The sequence below is a fragment of the Homo sapiens genome, chromosome 2 (assembly GCF_000001405.40).
Source record: "Homo sapiens chromosome 2, GRCh38.p14 Primary Assembly".
Lineage (NCBI taxonomy): Eukaryota > Metazoa > Chordata > Mammalia > Primates > Hominidae > Homo > Homo sapiens.
This window is the reverse complement of record NC_000002.12, coordinates 162114733-162137582: the sequence shown is the minus strand read 5'-3', so window position 1 is coordinate 162137582 and position 22850 is coordinate 162114733. Positions and strand designations below refer to the sequence as shown.

General features: G+C 38.3%; 1 long non-coding RNA gene across 1 annotated transcript in view; it reads right to left on the bottom strand.

Moving 5' to 3' along the window:
• The window catches only part of LOC101929532 (uncharacterized), a 58299-nt gene that overhangs the window by 35157 nt on the left and 292 nt on the right, over positions 1 to 22850 (bottom strand). The window lies entirely within an intron of this gene.

Sequence of the window (22850 nt, the reverse complement as noted above, 5' to 3'; positions counted from 1 at the left end):
AAGAAAATGTAAAAAAAACTTTTGTACTCTATGCTAATGAAGGTGCAATAAAATTCAAACTTATGCAGTTTTTAAAGGAAAAGTATTGCTTTACATGCAATGGTAAGAAAGAAAGAACTTTGAAAATCAATAGCAAAACTTCTACCTCAAAAGGTTGGAGAAAAGGGATAGCAAATCTCAGAAAGTAAAAGAAAGAAAATAAAAAAGAGGAGAAAATAATAAAGTAGGGAAAATCTATCATAAAAATAAAAACTATAAGTTAGTTATTTGAATAGATTAACAAAATTAATAAATTCTTAGCAAGACTAGTCAAGAAAAAAAAGAAGAAAAATATCACTACATAACAAAGGTGGCTTCTCTAAAAATTTTATAGACAATAAAAGGGTAATAAAAATATATTACATACCAATTATATGCCTGATAAATTTGACAGTTAGATGAAATAAAAAAATTATTTTAAAAATGTTACTGAAACAAATTAAAAAATAGAAAAATTTTAATAGTCCTCTATCTATTATGGAAACTTTATCTGTTATTTTAAAAGTCTCTCTGCAAAAAGAGCTCCAGGACCAGATGGCTTTCCAGGTGAATTCTTTTAAACGTTTTAGGAAGAAAATATACCAATATTACATAAACTCTTCAAGACATGGGAGGAAGAAAGGGAATACTTCTCAATTTATAAAACCAGGATAACCTTAATACAAAAATCTGACAGATTTTACAAGAAAGAAAAACAACAGACCAATCTAACTCATGAGGATAGATGAAAAATCCTATATAAACATCAAAGAATCAAATCCAGCAATATATAAAAGAAATAATACAGTAAGGACAAACAAGGTGTATTCTAGAAATTCTGGGCTAATTTGTAATTTGCAAAACAAGTGATGTAATTAACAGAAATAAAAAGGATAAAATTATATGATTGTCTTAATCAATGAAGCAAACACATTTGTGGAAATTAAAAACCTATTTATGATTTTTAAAACTCTCAGAAGGAAATAATAAAAGTAAAAAAAATAGGCAGAAAGCAAAACAAAAACAATAGCACTAATAAACCAAAATAATTCTCTGAAGAGAAACAATAAAAGAGAAAATTACTAGTCAACCTAAGCAAGAAAAAAAGACACCAACAGTACTTAAAATAAAATGAATTGGGAAACAACCACTGAAACAGAAAAAATAAAAAAAATTGACTATTGAAAATGCTGAACAAATGTATTTGAAAACCTAGAAGAAATGGGTAAAATTTTTTACAAAATGTAATTTTTAAAAATTGATACCAGTGGAAAGTAAAAAATAAACCAATTTACATAGAAGAAATGGAGAAAAGTACCAAAGAGCTACCTCATAAATAGGCACCAGGTCCAGATGGCTTCCCATGTAACCTCTACCGAACTCTTAAAGAATGGATAATTATGCTATATAAATTTTTCCAGAGGCCAGAACAAAAAAAAGTTCTAACTCTTTTTATAAACTGAGTATAACGTTGATGCCTAAACTTGATAAAGATAAATGGATTAATTTCACTTATGAATATTGATTTTTAAATCTTTTAAAATTCAGAAAAAAAGAATTTAATAACATATTAAAATTTTTAATAATCCACTATGATCAAATGTAATGTATTCTAAAATTGTCAAGGGTGTTTCAATATTAGAAAATCTATTAATGTAATCTATCATATTAAGAGATCTAAACAGAAACTTTTTATCATTAACTTCACACATACTGCATAGACCTCTGACAAAAATCAACACCTATTCCTCATTAAAAAGTGTCAGTAAATGGAATTAATGCATTATATACTTAAATCAGCATAAGGCAGCAGACTAAATGATGTCAAGAATGTAGAATAACTGGAAGTCTTATATACTTCTGGTGATGGTATAAAATTGGACCACTGCTTAAGAAAATTGGCAATTTCTTATACAGTTAAACATACACCTATCCTGTATATATAAACTAATAGAATTATATAAACATCCTAAATTGCCATCTATAAGATACCGGTTGAATAAATCAAGTTACATCAACAAAACTGAAGAATACATAGTCATTAAATGATTTGAATAAGAATGTTCTCAGTGGCCTTCATAACAGCCAAAAAAATAGAAACAACCCAAATGTCCATCAATAGAAGACTGGGTAGAAAAGATTGTATATATAAAGTTTAAGAACAGGACAGACTAAGCAATGGTGGTAGAATAGTTTAATGGTTGCCTCTGGGAGAAGGAAGGGTGAAACCGAGTAGAAATGAGAATAAAAGAATTTTCTGGAGTGATGAAAATGTTCTATTTCTTGATTGGGGTGTGGATAACCTAGGCAACCCCACACATTTATCAAAAGGCAACAAAATTAACACTTAAGACCTGTGCACTTCACGATAGATAACTAAACTGTGCCTTAATAAATAAATTTAAATATGTAAACCCTATATAAATAAAACGAAATAAAACTACAATGAGATAGTAGTTCTAATTCGAAAACCTAACAATACTTTCTGTTGACTAGCCTGTGAGTACCTAGAGCCTTCCAAACAGTGAAGACGACCATGCAAAATGTAATAACTGCTCAGGGAGGGAAATTTGACAGTGTCTGCCAAAACTACTCAGCAGCCTCAATTCTAGAAATTCACCCTAAAAATGCACATCCAAACATTCAAAACTACATATGCACAAGGTTATTCTTTGCGGGTATTGATCATCCATTGTGAAAACTGAGAAACAATCAAAATCTCCATCCATAGGATACTGATTGAATGAATCGAGATGCGTTCACAAAATGGGGAACTATGTAGCAATGAAAAAAAAAATATCAGTTCATAAAGATAGGTTTGGTTTGTCCTAGTATTATTTGTATACTAATTCTGAAATTCCTCCTTCATGTGTGGTGAAGGAGAGAACAAATAAGTAAATATATTGAGTTTGTTAGGAAGGGAGAAGGGAGAAACATACATGAATAAAAAAGGTGAGAGTAAGTGCTATGCAGATTTGAATAGGTGATATTAATATAAATGCATATTCATGAATATATGTGTATTTGTGTACATACATATACATGAATATATGTCTGTAGTTGTGTATGTATAAATATGTAAGTGTGTATGTACATATATATATACACACACACATACACACAAATACGCACACACTAATTCTGGTTTTAAAATCCCTCTTAAAAAATCGAAGGCTCCTTAAAGAAATGCTTGAATCCTCCAAGATATGTAAAGTACAAGGTGAGTTTGGAATATCTTGTGGTGCCAGAAAATATGGAAGTGCTCAAAGGCCAATGGAGGAGGAGGTACAAATGTGACAATGCTACCAATTGGTGTAGCTAGAATGTGAATAGCATGTAAGTGTTCATTATACCATTCTTTCAACTTTTATTCAGGTTTAATTTTTTTTCTATAAAAGCTTTTTTATATTTATTTATTTATTTATTGAGACGAAGTTTCACTCTTGTCGCCCAGGCTGGAGTGCAATGGTGCAATCTTGGCTCACTGCAACCGTCGCCCCCCGAGTTCAAGTGATTCTCCTGCCTCAGCCTCCTGAGTAGCTGGGATTACAGGCACCCACCACCATCCTCGGCTAATTTTTGTATTTTTAGTGGAGACGGGGTTTTGCCATGGTGGCCAGGCTGGTCTCGAACTCCTGAGCTCAGGTGACCCACCCGCCTGGGCCTCCCAACATGCTGGGATTACAGGTGTGAGCCACAGTGACCAGAGTATAAAAGCTCTTTTAAAAACTATTTATTACCATTGATGATTGCTGAGATACCAACTTATTACTCTAAAAAATGACAGATATAGGAAAAGAAAGAGAAATTTGTTATACTTTTTCTGCACCAATTATTATTCAGAGGAACTAAAAAGTTGGTGAGAGAAAGATTTTTCTATCGAAATCCAGCTAAAAATAGAAAATAAAGTTATAGAATTAGAAAAATCACCATTTTTCAATCTCAAAAAAAAAAAAAAAAAAAAAAAAAAACTGAATCCGGACAATTACCATGAGAAGATTCTAAAACTATTAGGTGAAAAACTGATGTGGAACTGGGTAGTGCATGGATCAAGCTAGCAATATGTGAACCTACTAATTATAATGTGATGTGATAGAACACACCACCCTGAGCTAGGGCTGCCTAAAAACTTGAACTGGAATCTAATGGAAACTCTTAATCTAGATATTGGTTAATAAAGAATATTGAGGAAGCTGTGAACTGAATGCAAAATGTGTAATACTCTCTAGGACAAATTATCGAGTTTATCAAATAATTGTAAAAAAGAAAAAAGGAAAGAATCTGTTACAGAATACAAGAGACAGGAAAAATATAGCAATCAAAGGCTGTAGAAAGGCATTGTGTTAAAATTTGGGAAATTTGAAAATAATTTGGGTGTTAAATAATATTATGGAGTAATCATTAATTTCATAGTGAGTAATAATGTCCTGATATAGACTTATTTTAGAGATGAATATTAAGAATTTGAGTGAAATAATATAGAAATTTTTTCCAATTACTCCAGCTCCTTTCCCTCTAATAACAAAAAAAAAGAAAAAGCAGGGAGCGGGGAATAAATAAAACAATACTGGCAAAATGTTGATAATTATTGAAGTTGGGTGATGGATGTACAGGAGTTTATTATGCTATCCTTTCTATTTTTGTCTGTGTTTGAAACTTCTTAATTTAAGAAAAACGAAAAAGAAAAAGCTAATAATGGTTTGGCCAAGGATGTAGCAATAGATCTGAGATCAATGGGCAGAACTGAAATACAGCCTGGGGGATAACTAACAGAACAAATTGGATGTGGAAGATGAGCAGTGGGCAGTATTGTGCAGGTAACACCATTCTCCTGGGAGGGTCAGGGAAGATCCCTGATTTGTAGTATTTGCCAATTTCCATGATGTAACTACTCCCACCATGGTAATCTCAAACTGAACGTGGATTTGGGAAGAGGTGTGCACAACTGCCTCTTCTCATTAGGTAAGCCCAGTGCCAACACACTCCAGGATTTAAAAAAAAAATGATTAAACAAGGATTAGGCCTAAATTTTTTGTTTCAACGGTGGGGTAGAGTAGCTGAGATCCTACATTAGGTAAGTGAGAGCCCTTGTAAATTGGGGCATTAAAAGTAAATATACACGGGCAGGAGAAAGAAGTCAAATTTCAGAATAGTGGGAGTGCAGGGGAGAAGGGGGCACTGGGCACAGGTGCTCCAATAATTACTGTATTTGGAATTTTATATTTTAAGGTTGGTGGTGAGTATATGGGTGTTCATTTAATCATTCTTTTATCTTTATTTATTTATTGATTTATTTGAGACAGGGTCTCACTCTTTCACTATGATGCCCAGGCTGGAGTGCAGTGGCATGATCTCAGCTCAATGCAACCTCCACCTCCAAGGTTCAAGCGATTCTCCTACCTCAGCCTCCCAAGTAGCTGGGACTACAGGCATGCGCCACCATGCCCAGCTAATTTTTCTATTTTGTGGCAGAGATGAGATTTCACCATGTTGTCCAGGCTGGTCTTGAACTCCTGACCTCAAGTGACCTGACTGCTTTGGCCTCCCAAAGTGCTGGGATTACATGCATGAGCCACCGTGTCTGGCTTAATCGTTCTTTATATATTTTTGAATGTCATAAGTGTATCATAATAAATTACAAATGAAATAAAAATAAAGAGAAAAAGTAAAAAAGCTATCATGTTCCAAGTTAGTAATAAAATACCCATGAAGACAAAATAATGATAATATTGAGTAGTAATAACTCAATATTTTGAAGCCATAGCTGGTGATTCTGTTTACAATTCTAAAAAGTCAGCTCTTCTCACCACACAAACACTCATGGAAAGATATATGCTCGCATAGACTACATTTTATCTACTGGTGTTCAAGTATAGCATAATATTCTGAGAGGTAAGTATTTAGGAGCCCACTAGTCCACATATGTTTCAAAGCTGTCCCCTACATTTCCATGTCTTCAATCTCATTTCAATTTCTCTCACCATTAAAAATAAAGTTCTTGGCTGGACGTGGCATCTCACGCCTGTAATCCCAGCACTTTGGGAGGCCAAGGCAGATGGATCACTTGAGGTCGGGAGTTCGAGACCAGCCTGGCCAACATGGCAAAACCCTATCTCTACTAAAAATACAAAACATTAGCTGGGCATTGTGGTGGACGCTTGTAATCCCAGCTACTCAGAAGGCTGAGGCAGGAGAATCACTTGAACCCAGGAGGCAGAGTTTGCAGTGAGCCAAGATCACGCCATTGCACTCCAGCCTGGGCAACAAGAGTGAAACTCCATCTCAAAATAATAATAATAATAACAATAATATTATTCCTTTGGCCACCTTAATACTATAGGTGTCTTTTGCTTTGGACTTATATATCTATGTCACCTCCACCTAAGAAGTCACCATTGGTTTCATAAAAACAACAACAGCAACAACAACCACAAAAACTTAAAAATTAAAGGAAAGTAGCAGTTTGGGGAATGTTTCAGTAATGTAGCTGAAAAATGATAAAGACTGTTCAAGAGGACACCAAAAAGTGGAAAGATATTCCATGTTCATGGATTGGAAGAATAAACATTGTTAAATTTCCATACACCCAAAGCAATCTACAAATTCAATGTAATCGCTCAAAATACCAATGACATTCTTCACAGAAAGAGAAAAAAATTCTAAAATTTATATGGAACTGCAAAAGACCCAGAAAAGCCAAAGCTATAATGAGCAAAAAGAGCAAAACTGGAATAATCACATTATCTGACTTCAAATTATACTACAGAGCTGTAGTAACCAAAACAGCATGGTATTGGCTTAAAAATAGACACATAAACCAATGGAACAGAATAGAGAACCCAGAAAGAAATCCATATATCTACAGTGAACTCATTTTTAGCAAGGGTGCCAAGAACATACATTTGGGAGAAGACAATCTTTTCAATAAATGACGCTGGGAAAACTGTACATCTGTATGCAAAAGAATGAAACTAGATCTCTATCTCCCACCATATACAAAAATTAAATCAAAATGGATTAAGGATTTAAATCTAAGACCAGAAACTATGAAACTACTAAAAGAAAACACTGGGGAAACTCTTCAAAACATTGGTCTGGGCAATGATTTTCTGAGTAATACCCCACAAGCACAGGCAACCAAAGCAAAAATGGACAAATGAGATCACATCAAGTTAAAAACCTTCTTCACAGCAAAGGAAACACTCAACAAAGTTTAGAGGTAACCCACAGAATGGGAGAAAAATTTGCAAATATTAATCCCATCTGACAAGGGATTAATAACCAAAATATATGAGGAGCCCAAACAACTATCTAGTAAAAAAGTGTAGTAATCTGATTTGTAAATGGGCAAAAGATCTGAGTAGACATTTCTCAAAAGAAGGCTTGCAAATGGCAAACAGGTGTATGAAAAGGTGCTCAACATCACTGATCATCAGAGAAATGCAGATCAAAACTACAATGAGATATAATTTCACCCCAGTTAAAATGGCTTTTATCCAAAAGACAGACAATAACAAATGCTAGAGAGGATATAGAGAAAAGAGACCCTTGTACACTGTTGGTGGAAATGTAAATTAGTACAAGCACTATGGAGAACAGTTTGGAGGTTCCTTAAGAAACTAAAAATAGAGCTACCATATGATCCAGCTATCTCACTGATGGGTACATACTCAAAAGAAGGGAAATGAGTATATCAAAGAGATTCTGCCCTCCCATGTTTATTGCAGCACTGTTCACAATTGCCAAGATTTGGAAGCAACCTGTGTCCATCAACAGATGAATGGATAAAGGAAATGTGGTACATGTACACAGGGTACTATTCAGCCATAAAAACGAATGAGATCCTGTCATTTGCAACAATATGGATAGAACTGGAGGTCATTATGTTAAGTAAAATAAACCAGGCACAGAAAGACAAACTTCACATGTTCTTATTTGTGTGTGCTGAAAATTAAAAGAATTGAACTCATGGAGATAGAGAGTAAAAGGAAGGTTATCAGAGGCTGGGAAGGGCAGTGGAGGAATGAGAGGGGAAGTGGGTTACTGGGTACAAAAAAAAATAGAAAGAATGAATAAGACCTAGTAATTGAGAGTGCAACAGAGTTACTATAGTCGAAAATAATTTAACTGCACATTTTAAAATAGCTAAAAGAGTATAATTGAATTGCTTGCAGTACAAAGGATAAATGCTTGAGGTGACAGATATCTCATTTACCCTAATGTGTATCAAAATATCTCGTGTACCCCATAAATATACACACCTATAATATACCCACAAAATTAATTTTTTTAAAAAAGATGAAGGCTTGAATTAAGAAACCAAGAGTGAGCAGGAGGAGGTAAGTGAAACTACTATTTTTTTTTTTTTTTGAGACAGGGTCTTACTCTGTTGTTGCCCAGGCTGGAGTTCAATGGCACAATCTTGGCTCACTGCAACCTCCACCTCCCAGGCTCAAGCCATCCCCAACCTCAGTCTCCCAAGTAGCTGGGAATATAGGTGCACGCCACCATGCCCAGCTAATTTTTCTATTTAATGTAGAGACGAGGTCTCACTATGTTGCCCAAGCTGTTCTTGAACTCCTGGGCTCAAGCAATCCTCCCATCTCAGCCTCCTAAAGTGCTGAGATTCTGTGCCTGACCTAGAATTACTTCTTTTAAGGTAATGAAGATGACATGGATAAAAGAAAGCAGTATAGAGTTACATCCTAGATTTCTGGCTTGACATCTAAATTATGCCATTCACTGAAAGGCAAAAACAGGTCAAAGAGTGAGTTTTAGAGGCTAGAGGGGAAATAGGAGGTTTAGCTTGGGACACATAAAAGATGCCAAGTGGACATCTACTCCCACTCCCATCCCACAAGAACCCAAGTTTTTGTGAGACAAGTTTCATGGTCTCACAAAGGAATGATGCGGCAGATTGAATTATAGTGCATTAAGAAGAGACAAGTAAGTAAGGGATGCAGATAACAGTGTAGATCATTGTGGTCTTTTAAGATCTGCCAGGAGGTACAGGATGGAGAGAAGCTGTCAGATTTATATATCAGGGACATAGGTGAAGCAGTGTGGTTGGAAGAGAGGCAGAAATTGAAGCTGTATCTGCATAGTGTTTACTATGATACTAAGAAAATGTACTAATTGTTCAGTAAAAAGGGAGAGGGAGAGGACTAGTTAGCAGAACCAAGGGATAGTTGTTGGCTGATTAAATATTTGCTGGTCAGTTTAAAATGAGATGACTTGAAAACAAATGTATATATCCTCCCAGCCTCAGCAGACCACATGGAAAGCGTAGCTGGAAAAGGTTAGTATTAAAAATAAAGTTGCACTCTCCTCTCTTCCAAACAGAGAGAACCGAGAAAAGGAAGAGGATCATGGAAGTAAAATAGCATCCCTCCTTGTCTCACATGTCAAATTATGTAGGCAACAGAATTCAACTGAAGAATGACACGATGTCAGAAACTTTCATAGGACAGAAGAATTTAAAGCATACTTTGCTGAAAACTAATTCAGAAGTTTTGCTCCTTAGAAATGATATTTCCCCAGGGAAAGTATAGGTTCCTGCCAAGACAGAGAGAGCTTTTGCTTTCCCAACTAATGTTTTTGAGTGATCCCTCTCACTTTTCAACAATTATAATTTTGGTTTGGGTGTTTGAAATCATTTCAATCTGACATCTGGAATAATTACATAGCATTTCTAGGAAACCAGCTTTTTTTTCCCAAGAAAATTACATATAGTAACACATCTTCCTTGAAAATTCAATGCTTCAGATTCTTCACAATTTTGTACTCCACTAGAGAAAGTGAGCACAGCACAGTGGCAGGTCATCATGGTAGAGAGAGGATAGACTTTAAAATCAAGCAGGCTGGAGCTTGACTGTCAGCTCCATTAGCAACTAGCTGCACTGCTGCACTGCTCCAAGCCCCAGTAAAATGGGGCTCCGATAATAATCTCTGCCTTGTGGTTTTGTTGTCACGCTTAAGTGAGATAGCACATTCCAAGCTCAAATATGTGGTACATAGAACCTGTTCAATAAATGGAATCCTCTAGTACATAAATTACTTTAAAACAGTTGATAAGAAGTTAAGGTTATCAATAGTCTAGTAAATAACCACTCATTTTGATGTGGCTTTGGATGATGAGAACACAGTATCAAGAAACCTCTATAAATCAAAAAATGCTCTGTTGAATAAGACCATGACGTTCAAGACAAGCACAGATTATTATATTAGTAAATTGTATGTTTCTTATTGCTGCTGTAACAAATCACCACAAACTTAGCTGCTTAAAACAACACAAATGTATTGCTTTACATCTCCGCAAATCAGAAGCCCAAACAGGTTTCAATGAGCTACTATCAAGGTGTGGGCAGGTCAGGGCCATGCTTCTCCATGGGAGTTCCAGGGGAAAGTCCGTTTCCTTGCCTTTTCCAGCTCCTGCGGCTGCATTGCTTGGCTTGTGGCTCCTTCCTCCATCCTCAAAGCCCATCACTCTCATCTCTGCGGCCATCTTTTCTCTCCTACCCAGATCCTCCGGGCCTCTGTTTGATAAGGACCCCTGTGATTACATTGGGCCCACCTGAATAATTCTGGATACTCTCCCCATCTCAAGGTCCTTACTCATATCTGCAAAGTCCCTTTTGCCAGGCAAGGTAACATATTCACAGTCCTGGGGACCAGGACACGGACATCTTTGGGGTGGGGGAGCATTACTCAGTCTATCAAAAAAACAAAGGCGAATTACACAGATATGACATGTAGAAAGTAGCAGTTTGACAGTAAAAGGCTTGAAGTTTATTGTGGAACCTAATCTACACCACAAACAAAAAGGAAGTGCTGTGATCTAAACAGCAAATATGATACTGGAGTAAGAAAAGATGAAAGCTTTGCTGTTTATTTACAGCTGATTAGGACTTGAGGAGAGCTGCTATTACTAGTTTTATATAATGAGCTATGGGACAGACTCTAAGGAGAAAAAGTATAAATTACAAAAGTAATTGAGGAGGAAAAAAATAAGTCTTCTGAAAAAAATTAAGGAATTGCAACTGCATAGCTTGGGAGGGGAAAAATAGCATAAATCCTAATAATTAATTGCTAGGGTACAGGTGTGGGCCAGAGATAATTAGCAGGAAAGGTTGATCATGTGTTCTCCATGTTCACAGAGAGCTGACAAAAAGAGGAAATGAGCCAAACTGCAGTGAGGAGCTGGGCTTTTAAAAAAGGAAGTTCTTGACCATGAAGATCAGACTACCAAGGGAAGCTGTGTAATCTCCATCCTTAAAGAGCTTTAAAAATAGTATAAACAGCCATCTGCACAAGATGATTTATGCATTGACCTTCAGGAGGCGGGCCCAGATCATCTCATGAAGTCCCTTCCAAGTGTGGGATTCTATGATTTAATCAGTATGTGATTTTTCTCAGCTCTACATTTTGTGAGATAACCAGCAGATGGAAGCCACAAATTCCCCAACATCATACCAAAATCATGGTTCCTCACACTGGTAGGGCCCAGTCAAGCTTGCCAAATTGGCATCCGTTGTAAAAATCATTGAAGGACCCACCTCAAACATTTATTTATCTCCTTGTGGGTGTCTGGACCACCCATGTCCACAAAATGCAGATAATCTTTATATCGATTCATGTGCATTTCGCTCTGATTTAGCATAAGAGAAAGTTGCATACATTAAAAGCATTTGTCTGGTTGTGAAGCCTGAGACAGCAGCTCTCAAAAATATTATTAGAGATTTACAGACCCTAGTCTAAGCAGAAATGAGGCTGATTGGACACTTTCCTGAAAAAAAGTTTACAGCACACTTGGGCCTCAGTTGTTCTCACTTAGATAAGAGACATGGTTCTCTGTATATATTCGTTTGTTTATTGAACAAATATTTGGGCGCAAACTGTATTCTAGGTAAAGTATAAAGCATTGGGGCGGGGGGTACAACAGTGAGGCAAATACTGTTCTTCCCTCACAGAGCTTAGTGTCTCCTCCAAATAAACAGGCCATTTTGATGCCAAGCAATAAAAGCTACAACACAGTTACGAACAAGGTGCTATGGGATAGCATATGAAGAGCAAACAACCCAGTCTTAGGGGTCCTAAGAGGACTTTGGGAGGAAATAATGCCTAAGCTGGGATCTGAAGGATGATTCAGTGCTTCTGGGGGAGGAAGAGTGGTGGAGAAGTATTTCATGGAGAGGGAACGGTGTGGTGAGAAGCTGGTAGAATGCAGCAGTGTGGAAAGTGAGAAGCATTGGAATGTGGCTGGAGCATGGAGGACAGACAGGGAGGAGGGAGGGGGGCTGGGAGAAGGGAGAAAGCAAGGGCAAGTCAGAGATGAGGCTTCAGAGGTCATGAGAGGCCTCAAAAGCCATGCTAAAGAATTTGCACTTGATGTGCAGGTAATGAGCAGCTGTTGAATGATACAGATCAGATTTGTCCTTTCAAAATATTTATTAGCACACTTTTAAATGTAGAGGACAGAAAAACATTTACATTTGCTTCAGCAAAAGGAAAGGCTTATCTGAGGAATACTGGGAATCCAAGGAATCCAAGGAGTAACTGAGCATCCAAAAAGAGCAAAGCAACAGAGCTAGGGAGGGGGAGCACAGTGGTGCTGCCTCATTCATCGCCCGCTGCTGCTTCTTTGGGCTTCTTCCTCTCCACTTGCTCTTTCTGTTTCTCCAGCTTACACTAATGGACACCCAAAGCTTCTGAATTTTAAGCTCCCAGTCTTGACAATCCAGAGACAGACTGGCCCAATTCTCTTGTTTCCAAATTCAAAATTCCAAGGAAGAAGACGTATAGGCCCAGCTTTAGTCTAGGAGCTCATCTCTGGACCAAGGAGCTGGGGCCAGGAAGCTCTGTGCATTCCAACGGGGCAGCTGCTGCTGCAGCCACTGAATGGGAAGGAGAGTGCGTTCCCAGAGATGGAAGGCAGGGCTGCTTTCTAGATTAGCCACGCATCCTTGCAGCAGCCTCCATGGACTGATGGATGGGAAGACTGGAGGCACAGACCCAGTGTGGAGATGGCTGCGTGTGTATAGCTTGTGCCTGAGGCCAGTTGGGAGATGTGCAGTCTCCACTGAGACCAAGAACTACCCAACTGCACTGGCCACTGGCCCAGGGCAAGCTCTGGCTCTCCATTAGTCCCCATGGGCCAGAGGACAGGTTGCTCCCCTGGTGTTCTTTATTCAAAACTATAACTGCTGGCAGGCTCTGCTCTCATGTATGAATTTCCAATCAGCATGCTTTTACTCAAATTGTTCTTTTGTTTCATTGTGTTACTAAAAAAAAGTCTGACAGGTTGGCATGCTTGTTTATGTGAATGTCTGGAACTGCAATTTCTTGTATGTTCATGCAGGATCACTATATAGGCTACCGTTTATAATATTCTCGGAAACAGTCAGTATTTAAAAATATTTTCTTAAATTAGTGCTGAAGTGTGAGATGTAAACCTTTTTATTAATGAATAATTTACCTCCCTTCAATTCTCCATCAGGTTTAAATTTCTGCCATTAGACTCTACATAGAACAGTATGTATGCAATTACACGTTTAACCACTAGATGGCACCATACATCTTTTATTCTAATTATCTCAATAACTTAAATGGGATTTGCGTTTTTGTTTTTGTTTATTGCTTTCCACAGAGTTAATGATATTTTCGCACTGGTTATTGAACATTCATTAGTGTCACTACTTATTTGTGATACTGCCTTTAACCATATACTAAATTTTTAAGTGTGCTAGACAATATTTCCTAGGAATTTCTTTCCTTTATCTGTCAATCCTTACTATAAAACCACGCTGTTTTAATTATTTTTGTTTTACAATACCTTCTAAAACCTGCTGTCACCAGTATTCATCTTCAATTATGTTTTTGTTTTCAAAATATTTTTTATCCATTAATTTATCCAAATGAAATTTAGGTTTATTTAATCAGTTTTTTTAAAAAAATTCTACAATGGCACTTGTATTGGAATTGCTAATAAATTTAAAAATAGCAATAACAATAGATATAAGTCAATTTGGAAGGAAGTTCCAACTTTGCAGTATTTATTTCCTTCAGCAAAATGAATGCTTTGAAACAGTGATGTAGACAACTGCATATACATAGTTTTTGGCGTGTGTGTGTGTGTGTGTGTGTGTGTGTGTGCATGTGCAGAATAAAGTAATATATAGAGATATAGAGAGAAGCATATTCAAACATACATTATAAAAGATGAAAAAAATGGAGGGGATATTTTCACATCTAACTAACTATAGGTAGATTGGCTAAATTTATTATTATATAATTCAAATGGGATATTTTGCTCCATTAAACATAATGATTTCAAATGATATATACAGCATGGTAACATATTTGTTTAAAAAATAGAGACAGAAGAAAACGGGTAGTAAGCTAACTTATTCTCTCTGAGAGGTAAAATTATAACTAACTCCTAGTCACTTAATGCTTTTCAGAATTTTTTACATTTTCTATACTGACATGTATTACTTTCATAATCAAAAAAGAAAGGCAAACTTCTAAGCCTTTAAAACAGTTGAGCTTTATGGAAATTTCAAAGATATACCATTTTCTTATACAGATTGATTTATTGCTCAATTTTTCATAACAATTACTAATTCAATAAATACATCTAGTGATATTCAAAGTAAGGAGAACTTCCATAGCTAGGAGAGAAACTTTATGACCTGTGCATGTCCCCTGCTAGAGCCTCAGGGAGTTGATATTATAACATGTTGCAGGTCACAGTGGTTAGAAGTGTTTATGCAGGACCCTTCACCTCCACTTCTCTCGATATGTCCAACCTCTCAGGCTTCCCAGTCTTCGCCTTCTAGTAAGTGACAAAAATCAGAGCTTCTCAAACTTTCTGGTCTCCAGGCCCCTCTTAAAAATTGGCTATCCCCAAAGGACTTTTGTTTATCCAGGCTATATCGATTAACATTTAACATATCCAAAATTAAACAGAAAGTCCTAAATATTCATTTTATTGATTTAAGTTAAAAGAATAGTTCCATTACAAGTTAACATAAATAATACTTTTTATGAAAAAGACTGTGTATTCCAAAACAGGAAAAATAACAAGAAAAATGCCATTGTTTTACATGACTTAATAGAAGACAGGTGGATTCTCATGTTTGCTTCTGTACTCAGTGTTTATTATCATATTTTGCTATCATAAGTTATCTAGCCTCTGGAAAACTTCACTGTACACTCCCAAGACGAAAAGAGCAAAAACAGCAAATGACATCTTAGTATCATTAGGAGAATAGTTATGACCTGAAAAAAGGTCTTAGGGAACCCCAGGGGTTCCCAAACCACACTTTGAAACTAATTACTGAGCTGGATTAAACTAACTGAATTATCATCACTCCACATTCTTTCCTTTTTTTCTTTCTTCTCTAATATTCACGAGCTCAATTAAAACTGAAAAAAAATAATGGCGAGAATAAGAACACTAGCATGAAACAATGGTCCCTCATTACCCACTTGCTTGTGTGGAATGACCAGCAAGGTCTTTTTTTTTTTTGAGACGGAGTCTCTCTCTGTCGCCCAGGCTGGAGTGCAGTGGCGCGATCTCGGCTCACTGCAAGCTCCGCCTCCCGGGTTCACGCCATTCTCCTGCCTCAGCCTCCTGAGTAAGCTGGGGATGCAGGCGCCCGCCACCATGCCCGGCTAATTTTTTTGTATTTTTATTAGAAACAGGATTTCACCGTGTTAGCCAGGATGGTCTCCTGACCTCGTGATCCGCCCGCTTCAGCCTCCCAAAGTGCTGGGATTACAGGCATGAGCCACTGAGCCCAGCCTGACCAGAACATTTTAAGCCAGATCTGTATGCATTCTGGAAGTGACTGGGTTTGTTGAGGTCATCTCTACCCTCGTGCCACCATATATCACCAGCACTTCCTGGTTACTGCTTGTTAATCTTTGGAGATAATTAACTTATGTTTCACTTTGTCTACCTCTAATTCTCTCCTACTTATTAGTGAGTTCAGTATCCCTATAGCAGATCCTTTCCAATGTCTGTTCTCTCAGTTCCTTGGCCTCCCCACTTCTAGAGATATTGTTCTCCTCTTTACCTTGGCCACTTATTCCCATGGATAAACAATTGTACTTTTACCATAACTGCAAACCCTCCATAACATCAATTTTAAGCAGCTTACTATTCTGGTCAATAACTGCTATTTTTCAACTCATTTCCTGAACCCCAATTCCAATAGTCCCCCAACCTCACAAACAACTACAATCTGCCTGGAACTCTCTTCCCTAATTAGTCACTTGGCTCAATCCATCCTGCCGTCTTCAGTCTATTGATCCTGCTGGTTTTCCTTGCAGCCTCACTTACTTCCTCATTATCTTGCTTAAATTTCATGGTCACTCATTATAATCACTCCCTTAAATTTGCCCCCAACTTCTCTGCCTTACTTTTGTTCATCAAACTCTCTTGGATAAAGCCAAACCCTAGTTAAATTTGACATTCTGCCTACACTGTGACTACACTCACACAAATGAATATATCTAGAGAAAAATCCACTAACGACATCAATATAGATTCATGATCATTAACATTACCAGGGCGATTAACACTGCCTAGCAATTGTACTGTATTTCCCTAGATAATTTACTGTTCTACTCTCCTATGTGGTTATTTCTTACCTTCTCTCTTCTCAGATTCCAACACCTCCTCCCCCATCCTCATTCCCAGCTTATGGCTTTGCTTCCTGTGTAACTAAGAAAACTGAAGCCATCAGAAGACACCCTCCATGTCCTCCCCTGATGCATGTGTGTACACATGTTCCAACTCTCTTCCTGCGATATAGTTGAGCCATCCCCATTTCTGAAGGCCAGCCCCTCCAGTACAGCCCTGGATCCCCTCTGCTCTAACCTACTCAAGTCATTGTTCCAGCCATTTTCTTCTCTCCTCTCTCATCAGTGTATCCTCTCTTTTTTGTCTGTATTGTCTGGTAAAACCTTTCATCATCCTATTGTCTTTGTAGCTAATGCCCATTCTTTTCCTTACCTTAAGAAAAAAAAGTAACAAAACAAAACACAGCTCTTTGAAAAAGCTGTTTATCATTGCCTCTAATTTAGCTGTTCCTGCTCTCTGTTGAACCTACTCTAATTGAAATTTATTTCATTTTTTCCCCCAATTTGCTCCTATCAAGCTCACCAGTAACTTCCACATTGCTAAATCCAGTGCTCAATTCTCAGGCTTCATCTTCCTTGAAAAGAATTTGACATTTGACAGAATTTTTCACTCTCTCCCTCTTAGAAACTCTCCTCACCTGGCTTCCAGAATATGTTGCTGTCTTGGGTTTCCTCTGTGTGACAGCTATGAAGGAAGAAAAGAGCAGAGTGTTGGTTGGAATTGCACAGGTCTCCGTATTCATTAGGAGATTAGGTCAGAAAGAAAAGCAGTTGAAGAGAGAAGGCTCAGGTGGCTCACTTGGGACTGAAAGAGAGCGAGAAAATGACCTTTGCATGACGTGACAGGAAGACATTGAGCCTGATAAGATCATCTCAGTGAGCAGATGGATATTGACATTCAGCACATCAGGTCCTGAAGATCAAGGATCTAAGCAAAAAGCCAAGAGATGCAGCAATGACAGGGAAGGGTAAAGATAAGGGTAATAATATCAAAAATCCCAACTTCAGCGTGGTAACCAGATTGTACTAATGCATATATATGTACTACCATGCATATATTTACTGTCTAACTTTTACAAAGTGTTTTCACATCTATTAATTGATTTCTTCACAGTATCCCTAGGCAACACAACTATTGTTATCCTAATTATATAGATGAAGAAACTGAGGCTTGCAGAGGTTAAAACAACTGTCTAAGATTATACCAGGAATTTTAACAGAGTTGGGACTAGAAGCCTGATCCAGAAAAATCAAGAAGCAGTTCCCAGGCAGTTTCTTTCTAACACAGAAATCCTGGGCAACTGAGTCAGAAGCATCTGATGGCTTGGTCCAGAGAGACCAGAGAATCAGCATCAGATCTTGAGACTGGGTGCCAGGTATGGATGGCACAGGGCTGGGTGGAAATATGTAGCAATACTGACAAGCCAGCGTCTGTGTAAAGGGCACTTTATGAAGGCCAGGATCCCAGTAGAAGGAGATGAGCTGAGCTGAGCTGAGCTGAGACAGGTAGCCTTAGCAGGTGGGTTCACCTGATTGAGGGGGTACAGTGGAGGTAGAGGAAGACAAGTAATATCTGACAATCATCCCAAAGAATAAATGAACCCACAATTCTCTGTGGAAAATCTGATGTTTAGTTCCCAGAGTTGTTAGGCCTCCAGCCTAGGGAAGAGGAAAATATTTGATGTTTGATAGCCATTGGAGACTGAGTGAGAGATGGGAAAGATAGATTTTTTCCCTCTTAAATTCATCATTTGAGGAATTTTAAACAGTCCATGGAAAGTGCATAATCCTCACAAAGTAGAGGAATAAACAAGTTATTTCCTTGACCTGCCATTTGTCACTCTCGTTGGAACAGGATTTTTGAAATTTCCAGTATAAGAAGTATATTGAACAAGCATGGCCCATTGTGAAATCACAGCACTCCCCTTCAAGTGTTCAGTGGAGTTAACCTTCCCTTGCCCCAGTTGAACATTCACGTGCATCCCAGGACTTTTCTAGATACTCTTGGGTGTGTATGTGAGGACAAGAACGTCCTACAATCCCTTTAGTAACAAGTGAGTGGAATTCAGTAATCAGAACATCTTACATAACCAGAAACTGAAACTGATTTAGCACTAAACCTTTTCCTGTCCCTGTTCCTTGGCTGCTCCGCTGTGGATGGCTTATTCTCTATTCCTCACCTAGTGCTTTCCCTCCTCCCTTCTGATGCCCTCCCCGCAGCTTGCCAGCCAGTTTCTGGGCTAAGGCCAGAGCTAGAAGAGAGACATGGTAAAGGGCCAGGAAATGTCCTTCTTGTACTGGCTTCGGGCTTTCCAGGCCTGGCAAATGTTTGCAGATGAGTCTTTCTTTCATGGGCACTTTCACGGGCATCCTGTAGGTTCCCTGGTGGGCCCCTGCCCTGCAGTCCTGTCCTGGGTTAATGCATCCTATTATGGGTGGCCCAAGGTAGGTAGGGTGACCAACTATCCCAGCTTGTCCAGGAATATTCCCATTTTAGCCTAAAGGGCCCACATCTTGTGAAACTTCTGAGATCCGGGCAAACCAGAATGGTTAGTCAGGGGTTACTCATGAGTCCTTCTGTAGCCCTTAATTATCTGATATTAACTTCAACTTCTGGCTTCTGGCCCTTCAACCATCTAGGGTCCTTGTACAAATTCATAAAAAACCCACACTGACTCACTTGCCCAATCACCCCACACATAGCTAGTCCACAGAAAATATTCCTTTGCCTTTGAAATCTGAAGGTATAAGCTTTCCATCCTGCCTGAATTCAATATTTGTGAAAGTCATCTCCATGTGCATAGGCAAAGCAGCTCGCTGGCCTCCCTTCCCCTTTTCTGGAGAGAATTCAGGATTGTCCTGGGCCCATTTGAATGGATTCATTCCCATCACCTCTGAGAAGGCTTGGCAATGGCCAAGGGGCCTCAAGGGGTACCCAGTCTGGGCTTCTTGGAAAGATGCATATTATTTGTAGATGTGGTCAAATCTGCTATCACCCTTATGCTGTATCTGCTGAGCCTACAAATTACAAATTTCCCTAACCATGGAGGCCCCTATCTAGGTCTGTTTTATATGGTGATAATAAATACCTTACTGATTAAATCACCTTTTAAAAACACTAATTTTAGGCTGGGCGCAGTGGTTCATACCTGTATTCCCAGCACTTTGGGAAGCCGAGGCGGGCAGATCACTTGAGGTCAGGAGTTCAAGACCAGCCTGTTCAACATGGAGACAACCTCATCTCTACCAAAAATACAAAAAAAAATTAGCTGGGAGTAGTGGTGCTCACTTGTAATCCCAGCTACTCGGGAGGCTGAGGCAGGAGAATCAATCGCTTCTGGGAGAAGGAAGTTGCAATGAGCTGAGATCGTGCCACCACACCCCAGGCTGGGCAACAGAGCAAAAACTCTGTCTCAAAAAATAAAGAAAGAAAGAAAACAAAAATGCTAATTTTAATAAAAATAAAGCTATTAATTTAAATGAAAAGATAAATACAAACTTTTAATAACATACAAAATTTTTAATAAAAAATAAATATAATGCCTTATCTTCTTGCCATTACTCTCTTTGAATTTTTACAGCTTAAGTTGCTCCTAACTTCAAGGAAGGTGATTCAAAACTTTCCAAATGAACTCTTGGAGGTCTCCCTTACTAAACATGGGGTAAACCTGAATGGAGCAACTGATCTTTCCAAATAAATCATTTCAAAATTCTCCTCTATGTCAACTCTTTCCATTCTGAAAGTGGTTGAGGGGATTCAAGTCATGGAATGTAAATTTCACATACTGTGATCTGGCTTTGGAATATCACATCAATTCTATCTTGGTGTCTCAGTCTCTAACTTTAATTTTAACACTCTATTACACAAGAAACAAAATAAAAACTAACCCAGTAGGTGGCACCTGCAGAAATATATGCAGAGCATGTGTGGCAGATTGTATTTTCCAAAAATGGCCATAGCAATATTTATGTTCCCACATACTCTCCCAGAACCTTGACATCCTTCCATCAAGCAGTGGAATCTATTATCTCCCCTTTGAATATGGGGCACCTCAATGACTTGCTTTTAACAAATACAATGTAGTAGACGTGATGCTGCCTGACTTCCTAGATGAATTAAAAGAAGGCAATATAGCTTCTGACTAGTTCCTCTCCCCACCCCCCTCTATCTTTCTCCTCTCTCTCTCTCTCTCTCTCTGTCATAATCTGGACCAGTGATAAAATTTGTGGAACCCAGGAGAAAATGAAAATGAGCAGCCTCTTCTTTCAAAACAGTGGCAAGCACAGAGCCCTCTTCTGTGTGTGAGTCTTGTGTAACTACACAGGACACAAATCCATAAAGCAAGCCCTGTTTAAGATGCTTATCTTTGAAAATCAGCCACCATGTTGACAGGAAGCCCAGCCCAAATGGAAGAGTTATGTGTAGCTATTCCACTTGACAGCTGCTTAGTTAACTTGGACAGTTCTAACAAAATACCATAACTGGGTGTCTCAAACAACAAACATTTATTCCTACAGTTCTGGAGGCTGAAATTCCAAGATCATGGTGCTAGCAGGGTCAGGTTTTAGTGAGGGATCTCTTACTGGTTTACAGACAGCCACATTTGGCTGTGTCCTCAGATGGTGGAAAGAGGATGAGCTAGCTCTCTGACCTCTTCTTATAAGGGTACTAACCCCATTAATGAGTGTTCCTTGCTCCAGACCTAATGATATGCCAGAGGCTCCACCTCCAAATGCCATCCCACTGTGGATTAGATTTGAACATATGAATCTGTGGGAGACACGAACATTCAGTCCACAGCAATAGTCCTAGAAATACCCTCAGCAACAGCCAGAAGCACCCCCAGACATGTGAGTGAGCAAGCATTCAGATGATTCCAGCCCCAGCCTTTGAGTCTTCTGCATATGGCTCCTGGCCTCACACAAAAAAGCTGCCCTCCCTGTGCCCTGTCCAAAGAATCCATGAACATAATAAAAGGTTGTTTTGCACCTCTAGATTTGGGGTCATTTGTTACTCAGCCAAGTAACTAGAAATGCATGACTTAGAGACAGGACTTATGAAGGATATGCAGACCAGTCACACCTGCCTTGTCTCTGACATGGCAGCATCTCCCAGAAGCATGTCTTCTAATACCATCTGAGTCCTCCCCAGTGTTGCTCCAAGTCTCTGGACTACAACCACCACAACACCCTAGCAACAGACCCCAAAACTCTCCCTCTGCAGCCTTCTGCTGCCTGAAGCAGCTGCTGCCTTAGACACCTTTTCCAGTATCGAACCTTCATGGTCCTCCACATGAGGCTGTGCAGCTCCATGAGGACCACAGAGACCACTCACTCAATACCACAAGCAACCCTTCAAATACAGTCATCACCAATGAGACTTGTCCCCAACTTCAGATTTGGGGTTACCCTTCCAGCAACCATACCCATTAAATTGGGAATTTATGTATCATTTACATCAGGGTTTCTATGAAAATGAGTCTGAGGCTCAAACTTCATAGTTTTGAAACTCAACCTTTTCATTGGTTCAGAACCACAATCCAAGCTGTGATCGCATACGCTCCATTAGACTTAAATAACTGTTGGGATTCAATGACTCTGTCCTTTCTGCCTGCTTATCTGAGTGCCTTTGGAAGCCATATCTCTTGGAATTTAGCACACTCAACCCATAGCAAATTAATATGTCATAGCATAGAATTTTGTACTTCTAAAAGAAGTACAAAAATGAAAACTAACTAGAAGGTTAGACATTTTTTAGGTTTTACAAATTATGAAACCATGACCACTAAAAGAAACTCATCCATTATACAAAATGATGTTATGAGTTATTTTGAAAAATATCGGAATGTTCTCAAAGTAAATGGTGTTTTTTACCATAGTAAATTTATTCCATGCAACAACTTACTGAATTATTTGCTTTGCTCTTGTTAGTTCCCAAATTCAGCTGTTCCTAAGTGAAGATGCCTTTTTCTCTAAGTTTTCCTTTCAGTCATACATTAGTGCCTGTACCATTTCAAAGCCATGTAAACATTAACTTACATAATATGTAGTTTTTAAGAACCAAAATGTTCTCAAATTTTGAAAATATTTCTTACATTTCTCTTTGGTATCCAATTGCCAAACAAACTTAAATTCAAATTTCTATCAAACTTGTTTTCTGTATCCAAACCACTCTAATTAAACAC